The 8512-nt window shown below is 43.7% G+C and overlaps 1 pseudogene, besides 1 other annotated feature; it reads left to right on the plus strand.

Annotated features, from left to right (window-relative positions):
• Positions 5262 to 6380, plus strand: GPR160P2 (GPR160 pseudogene 2; annotated as a pseudogene).
• Positions 7073 to 8272: an enhancer, noted in NCBI's record as "BRD4-independent group 4 enhancer chr17:30088656-30089855 (GRCh37/hg19 assembly coordinates)". NCBI's record gives its function as "activates an origin of replication core promoter dependent on BRD2, P300/CBP, MED14 and CDK7 cofactors, and independent of BRD4, by STARR-seq in HCT116 cells {active_cell/tissue: HCT116}" and the evidence as "EXISTENCE:reporter gene assay evidence [ECO:0000049][PMID:35650434]".

Raw genomic sequence — 8512 nt, forward strand, 5'->3', positions numbered from 1 at the left:
CCAGGCTGTTTGTTCATTCGACAGTCATTGACTGAACCCAGAGCCATACTTACGGTGAAACTATTAAAGCTTCCTGTTCAGGGCCTCTCCTTCACACAGGGAAGGGCCTAGTAAGCATCTCACTTTTCTTAAAAAAAGTTCCCAGCCCCACAAAACCTGGGCCTGCCCCTGCTAACTGTGGTGTGTCAGCATCATGCCAAGCTCTGGATGTAGGACAAGATAGGAACAAAACGGCCAGGGGAGTTCCCCGGCCTGGTGCGGTGGCTCACACCTGTAATCCCAGCATGCTGGGAGGCCAAGATGAGAGGATCCCTTGAGTCCAGGAGTTTGAGACCAGCCTTGGCAACATGGCAAAACCTTATCTCTACAAAAAACACAAAAGTTAGCCGGGCATGGTGGCACATGCCTATAGTCCCAGTTACACAGGAAGCTGAGATGGGAGGATCACTCGAGCCCAGGAGGTCGAGGCTGCAGTGAGCCATGATCACACCACTGCACTCCAACCTGGGTGAGAGAGTGAGACCTTGTCTCAGGGGAAAAAAACAGAATCCCTGCATAGGGCTTGACTCTTGACTCACAGTAGGTGCTGAATAAATGGTAGCTGGCATTATTACTTATTGTCTCTCTCTTTCCCATTAAAATGCAAGCTCCCCAAGGATAGGGAACTTTTTCAATTTTGTTCCTTGCTGTAGCCCAAGAGTTTAGAACAGTTCCTGGCATGTGGTAAAAGCCCAGAAGATATTTTCCGACCCTTGAGATGGTTTTGTTCAACTCTTCAATTCACAGGTGAGGAAACTGGCCCAGACAGGTGTGTCTTTCCCCCAGTCTCACTGTGCTGAACAGGGCCAGGCCCCAGGGCCCCTCAAGCCCTGAAGAAGGTTTTCTTCTACTTCCTGCTGCCTCCTTTGATGATTCACACTAGGGCCCAAGAGATACTTCTGGAATAAAAAATCAAGGGGTCAAGCTGGGTGCAGTGGCTCATGCCTGTAATCCCAGTACTTTCGGAGGCCGAGGTGGGTGGATCACCTGAGGTCAGGAGTTTGAGACCAGCCTGACCAACATGGTGAAACACCCATCTCTACAAAAATACAAAAATTAGCTGGGCGTGATGGTGGGCACCTGTAATCCCAGCTACTCGGGAGGCTGAGGCAGGAGAATCACTTGAATCCGGGAGGCAGAGGTTGCAGTGAGCCAAGATCATGCTACTGCATTGCAGCCTGGGCAATAGGGCAAGACCCCATCTCGAAAAAAAAAAAAGAAAAAGAAAAAAAATCAAGGGAAGGCTGGGCACAACAGCTCATGCCTGTAATCCCAGAACTTTGGAAGGCTGAGGTGAGAGGATCACTTGAGCCCAGGAACTCAAGACCAGCCTGGGCAACATAGCAAGACCCCGTCTCTACTAAATATACAAAAATTACCCAGGCATAGTGGTGTGCACCCATAGTCCCAGCTACTCAGGAGGCTGAGGTGGGAAGATCACTTGAGCCTGGGAGGAAGAGGTTGCAGTGAGCTGAGGTCACGCCACTGCACTCCAGCCTGAGTGACAGAGTGAGACACTATCTCAAAAAAAAAAAAAAAAAAAAAAAAAAAGGCCAGGTACAGTGGCTCACGTCTGTAATCCCAGCACTTTGGGAAGCCAAGGTGGGCAGATCACTTGAGGTCAGGAGTTCGAGACCAGCCTGGCCAACATGGTGAAACCCTGTCTCTACCAAAAATAAAAATAAAAAAATTATCTGGGCGTAGTGGTATGCGCCTGCAATCCCAGCTACTTGGGAGGCTGAGGCACTAGACTCACTTGAGCCTGGGAAGTCAAGGTTGCAGTGAATCGAGATTGCACCACTGCACTCCAGCCTGGGTGACAGAGCAAGACTCTGTCTTGAAAAAAAAAGAACAGCAAGGAAATTGGTAGAGTGTAGACCTTGCAGTGAGGTTGCCAGACTTAACAACAACAATACAGGACCACAGGTTAATTTTAAAATTTAGATAAACAAAAAATAATATTTTTCTATTAGTGTATCCCATGCAATCTTGGGGGCATAGTTATAATAAAACACTATTCATTGCTTATCTGAAATTCAAACTTAACTGAGCATCTTATATATCTGCTGGAAACTCTGCCTCAGATTTCCACTGAAATTAGTTCAAATTCCTGCTCCACTACTTACTGTGTAATCTTCGACAAGTATCCTAACCACTCACTCTGCCAGAGTCTGAATGTTTTCAAAATTCATATGTTAAAAACCTAATCACCAATGTGATGGTATTAGGAGATGGGGCTTTTGGAAAGGGATTAGATCATGAGAGCAGAGGCCTTATGATTGGGATTAGTGCCCTATAAAAGAGACCCCAGAGAGCTCCCTGACTCCTTCCACCATGTAGGGACACAGTGAGGAGGCACCATCTATGAACCAGGACAGAAGTCCTTACCAGACACCAAATCTGCTGGTGCTTTGATCTTGGACTTCCCAGCCCCCAGAACTGTAAGAAAGAAATCTCTGTTGCTTATAAGCTACCCCATCTATGGTATTTTATTACAGCAGCTCAAATGGACTAAGACACACTGTAATCCTCAGTTTTCTCATCTGCAAATTAAGGATAGCCCCACCTTCTTCACAGAGTGGCTGTAAGGATTAGAGATGATACCTTAAGTATTGGACACACAGCAGACAGACACTCCCAATGTTGGTTTCCCTCCCTGGTTTCAGAAGCCCTTAGGGGACTCGGGAGGGAGCATGACTTGCCATTTGTAGGATAATATGGTAACTACGGTGTTCAAGTTCTTCCAAACAGCATTCTAGTATATAGAATAGAATATTGTGAGTGCTGCCTTAAGGCAAACTTCTCATCCCTTCAAACCCAAACTCCCTTTTCATAAGCTTTTTTTTTTTTTTTTTTTTTTTTGAGACAGTGTCTCACTCTGTTGCCAAGGCTGGAGTGCAGTGGTACAATCTCGGCTCACTGCAGCCTGGCCTTCCCAGGCTCAAAGCAGCTTTCCACCTCAGCCTCCTGAGTAGCTGGGATTATAGGCACCTACCACCCCACCACCACACCTGGCTAATTTTTTGTGTTTTTAGTGGAGACAGGGTTTCACCGTGTTAACCAGGCTGTATTCAAACTCCCGGCCTCAAGCGATCTGCCCACCTCGGCCTCCCAAGATGCTGGGATTATAGGCATGAGCCACCACGCCTGCCTTCATAAGCATTTTAAATGCCTCTTTGACTTTATTTAAATGCAGTAATAAACTATTTATATGACAACACAAAAGAATTAATATAATGATATACCTGCAACTTAAATGAAAAATAAAAGGGATAAAGTAACATTTCAACACATAAATACTTGGGCACGTCGTAGTGTGATACTTGCATGGAATAAGAAGAAATACATTTAGATTCAGAAGTTAGACAATATTCAATATTAAGTTGAACTCTATGAAATTTCCAATATGGAACTTTGATCTACAAAAATGGTAATTTCATGATTCAACCTAATACCTGATATTCAAAAATACAAGCAAATGGGGTGGGGGGTATCTTTTCCTCTACTCACAAACTAAACTACCTGTCATGTACATGTGTGTTGCACCATGAATCAATAGCTACAAATGCAGGTAGGTATAAATGTATCAGCAACTCAAATATCGTGTCATTACCATGCAGGTTGCGATTTTCCAAAATGGTGACATGCTCTTGTTAACATTGCACACAATGCAAAGTATAATCTTTCCCTTTTTTCCCAGTATTTGCACTTTTGAAAAATTGTTTATATTTGAAAAAATTCAAAAACATGACATTGCTTTATATATAAAACAGCATTCATTTCTGGGATCAGCAAATTATAAACAGGTTTTGGGGTGTTTTCTTTGTTTGTCTGTTTTGTTTTGTTTTATTGGGGGTTTTTTTCCTATATGAATTTCTTCCAGGACATTCAGAAGTTCAGAGGAGGCAGGAAAGCTTCTTGTTGCCTGGGTCTGTACCATATTGCACACGCTACAGGACTTGCCCTCTTAAATGGAAGTAGTTGACTGCAAAATCATTATGACAACCAAAAATAATCCCCCTAGTTCCAAAACCACCACTAAAGAGATGATATATCCCCATTGAGAACCACCAATCTAATAACTTCTGCCTGAATGCTTTCAGTGATAAGAAATTGACTCTACAATACCATCTCATTGACTCACCTGTCAGGAAGTAATAATTCCTTCTTCTATCTCTGGTGGGTACCCAAGTTGGGCCCCATCTCTGTACTATGGTCACCATGGAGCCTCTACCAAAGAAGCTGCTTTCTAGACCTTTCCATTGTGACTCACGCTCCAGACTCCACTGGGGGAAAAAGACAGATGTGGGAAGCTCTGCCCAGTCAGGATGAGGCTGGGGAATAATCTATTATGCTCTTCTTGCCCCATCTTGTAGTGGGTTAGTGAAAAGAGGGAGCTACAAAACAGCATATATGAGATTCTTTCATTATTATAAAAATGCATATGAGTGTGTGTGTGTGTGTGTGTGTGTGTGTGCAGAAGGAAAGACCACCTGCTCAGTGGTTAGGAACTCAGACAGACCTGGGCTCAACACCCAGATCTGCCACTTATTAAATGGTAAACCTTATTAAGTGGTTGGGAAAACAACCATCCTGAGACTTAGTTTCTCTGTCTATAAGGTGGGAATAATAAGGGCACCTACTTCATAGGAATAAATTAAGATAACACATGTGGGGCACTTAGCAGAATGCTTGGTGCCCAACAAATGTTGGCTTACGTGACTTTGCAATGATAGTGGATGAAACAATACATTTTTCCAGGGAAAACCCATATATGCACCCAAGGTGCAAAATGAGCCCCATGACCCCTTTGGCCTCACCAGGATGGCTGAGCACAAAATGAGATTAAATCCCTCTGATGACCTTGTGCAGTGGCAAGCCAGACTGTACCCTTCAATCTGGGGACCACCACACGGAAGAGGTCTGCAGAGAAAAGGCCCCATAGGCAAGACATAGCACAGGTTCAGCCCATACTTGTGCGAAAGACCCAGAGCTTATTCAGGCAGCATTTTGGTAGAACAAAGAGAAATGCAAGATTATTGGAGACCATAAAACAAAAAAAAATAGGGAGAAGATAATCAGCCAAGCAACCCACACTGGAAAAGTCAGGGGACAGAAAATTAAATGAAGCAGGGTTTTATCGTACATACTTGAGCAGGTCTTCTGAAATTTAGCTGCAAAATGTACCTGTTCATCCTTCATAGTCCTGCTGTCTGAGGTCTCCATCCTCACAAACAAACCAGCCCTCAGTGGGTTAGCTGCCTGCTGAGCTGGAGTATACTTGGGAAAAGGTTCCCAAATGTCTTCACACAAGGAATAAGATGAAAAAACTCCTGTCGATGTTTTATGGAATATTTTTACATTTTACTAGCATTCATCAGTCTTTTACTATTGACAAACATATCCCTTATATCCTATTTCAGGATTTTGAATTTTTAGGCATTAAATTTGGTAAATACTATATGTTCATTTTCTCAAGATATTTTATTTACATGTTTTTGTTTTCCAGTTTTCACAAGAGTTTCTTTAAATTCTTACTAGAATTTCTTTAAACTTCCAAGCTGCTATATCTGTTAAAAATTAATTGTATTTGTTCATTTGGATTTTATCTCTTATGTTTTAGAGAGCCAGCATAAACACACAGAACTTTTATTCTCATCAATGTCCTCTTTTTTTTTTTTTTTCTTTTTGTAAGAGATGAAGTCTTGCTTTGTCACCCTGGCTGGAGTACAGTGCACAACCATAGTTCACTGAAGTCTTGGACTTCTGGGCTCAAGTGATCCTTCTACCTCAGCCTCTTGAGGAGCTGGGACTATAGGTGTGAGGCACCACACCCAGCTAAAGTGAGACCCCATCTTTTTTCTTTAAAAGTACCACTCCAGGGGCTCCCAGGAGCAAGATCTAGGGTTGCACACAAGGCCCCACTCTGCACTCATTCCTCGCCTCAGCCTCCCAAGTAGCTGGGATTACAGATGGGAGCCACGGAGCCCAGCGTCAATGTCCTTTATAAGTCAGCATTACAAGTTATTGATTGATATCATTCATAATCTCTTGGTCAGAACTTGCCACATCAGTACTGGCAATTAGGATAACTTCCTATATGAATGAGGCTATTCCATGCCTTCTTTTTTCATCTGACTCTGATTCTAATTATACTGTGAGCTCTGAGAAAACATTCTTACTTGGTTACAATTTGTATTCCTTCAACTAATCACCCACTTACTTAAGTACAGATTCTAGCCTGTACTTAGATAAATATTCACTGGTTGTCCATGGTCAACAGTTTCCTGATTGCCACAGTTCCCTGGTTCAAGTATCACAAGCTTACTTTAACAGACATCAGCTGGGCGCAGTGGCTCACTCCTGTAATCCCAGCACTTTGGGAGGTGAGGCAGGCGGATCACGAGGTCAGGAGTTTGAGACAAACCTGGCCAACACGGTGAAACCCTGTCTCTACTAAAAATACAAAAAGTAGCCAGGCACGGTGGCGGGTGCTTGTAATTCCAGCTACTCAGGAAGCTGAGGCAGGAGCATTGCTTGAACTCAGGAAGCAGAGGTTGCAGTGAGCTGAGATCATGCCACTGCACTCCAGCCTGGGTGACAGAGCAAGACTCTGTCTTGGGGAAAAAAAAAAGAGAGACATCGTATGACCAGTGGATTCATTTGCCCATGGGTCACACGACATTAATGAAATGCAGCTGTTGTCAATGAAATGCAGCTTCATTACACTTACAATTCATAATATCTAGCAGACTGAAAAGTCTGTATCAGTAATGATTTGTCAATATGTTGCCATGTTACAATTAATCAAAACTTGCCAGGCACAGTGGCTCAAGCTGTAATCCCAGCACTTTGGGAGGCTGAGGCAGGCAGATCACTTGAGCCCAGGAGTTCAAGACCAGACTGGGCAACATGACAAAACCCTGTCTCTACAAAAAATACAAAAAGTACAAAAAATTAGCCAGGCATGGTGGCACATGCCACCATGTCCCAGCTACCTGAGAGGCTGAGGTGGGAGGATCACCTGAGCCCGGTGGTTGAGGTAACAGTGAGCCATGATTACACCATTGCACCCCAGCCTGGGTGCCAGAGTGAGACCCTGTCTCACAATATTAATAATAATAATAATAACTTACAATTATAGTCAAAATAATTTTATAAATGAGAAGGAAAGCTCCGGCTATATGCAAATGCTAAGTTAGGTGAATGGATTATACATTGATATAGCCTAGTGGTGACTGAAATCTTGATTCTCAAAGATTTTAAGGACTAGATATGAACTGAAGTCTTCCACCAGCCTTCTTACCTTTTCAGAATGTGTCTTTGGGGGGTGATGGTATTATTTATTAAGCAATGGTTTTGGTTTTTTTTTTTCTTTTTTTGAGATGGAGTCTCACTGTGTCACCCAGGCTGGAGTACAGTGGCGCAATCTCAGTGAGAAGTGAAGCCAGCTGGATTTCCTAGGTCGAGTGGGTACTTGGAGAACTTTTCTGTCTAACTAGAGGATTGTAAATGCACCAATCAGTGCTCTGTGTCTAGGTAAAAGTTTGTAAATGCACTAATCAGCACTCTGTAAAAATGCACCAATCAGCTCTCTGTGTCTAGCTAAAGGTTTGTAAACACACCAATCAGCACTCTGTAAAAAACGCACCAATCAGCACTCTGTGTCTAGCTAAAGGTTTGTAAACGCACCAATCAGCACTCTGGAAAAATGCAGCAATCAGCACAGCACTCTGTAAAATGGACCAATCAGCGCTCTGTAAAATAGACCAATCAGCAGGACATGGGTGGGGCCAAATAAGGGAATAAAAGCTGGCCACCGGAGCCAGCAGAGGCAACCCGGTCAGGTCCCCTTCCATGCTGTGGAAGATTTGTTCTTTCACTCTTCACAATAATTCTTGCTGCTGCTCACTCTTTGGGTTCGCACTACCTTTATGAGCTGTAACACTCACTGCGAAGGTCTGCAGCTTCACTCCTAAAGTCAGTGAGACCACTAACCCACCAGAAGGAAGAAACAACTCCAGACATGCCACCTTTAAGAGCTGTAACACTGCAAAGGTCTGCGGCTTCACTCCTGAAGTCAAGCGAGACCATGAACCCACCAGAAGGAAGAAACTCCAGACCCATCTGAACATCTGAAGGAACAAACTCCGGACACACCACTTTTAAAAACTGTAACACTCACCGTGAGGGTCCTCAGCTTCATTCTTGAAGTCAGCAAGACCAATAACCCACCGGAAGGAACCAATTCTGGACACATTTTGGCAACCATGAAGGGATTATCGCCTATCGCCAAGGGGTGAGTACCATCAGACCCTATTCATTTGCTATTCTGTCCTATTTTTCCTTAGAATTCAGGGGTTAAATACCGGGCACCTGTTGGCCAGTTAAAAGCAACCAGCATGGCTGCCAGACTGAAGACACGGGTGTCTGGCTTTCTGGGAAAGGGCTCTCTAACAACCCCCGACTCTTC

The sequence above is a fragment of the Homo sapiens genome, chromosome 17 (assembly GCF_000001405.40).
Source record: "Homo sapiens chromosome 17, GRCh38.p14 Primary Assembly".
NCBI lineage: Eukaryota > Metazoa > Chordata > Mammalia > Primates > Hominidae > Homo > Homo sapiens.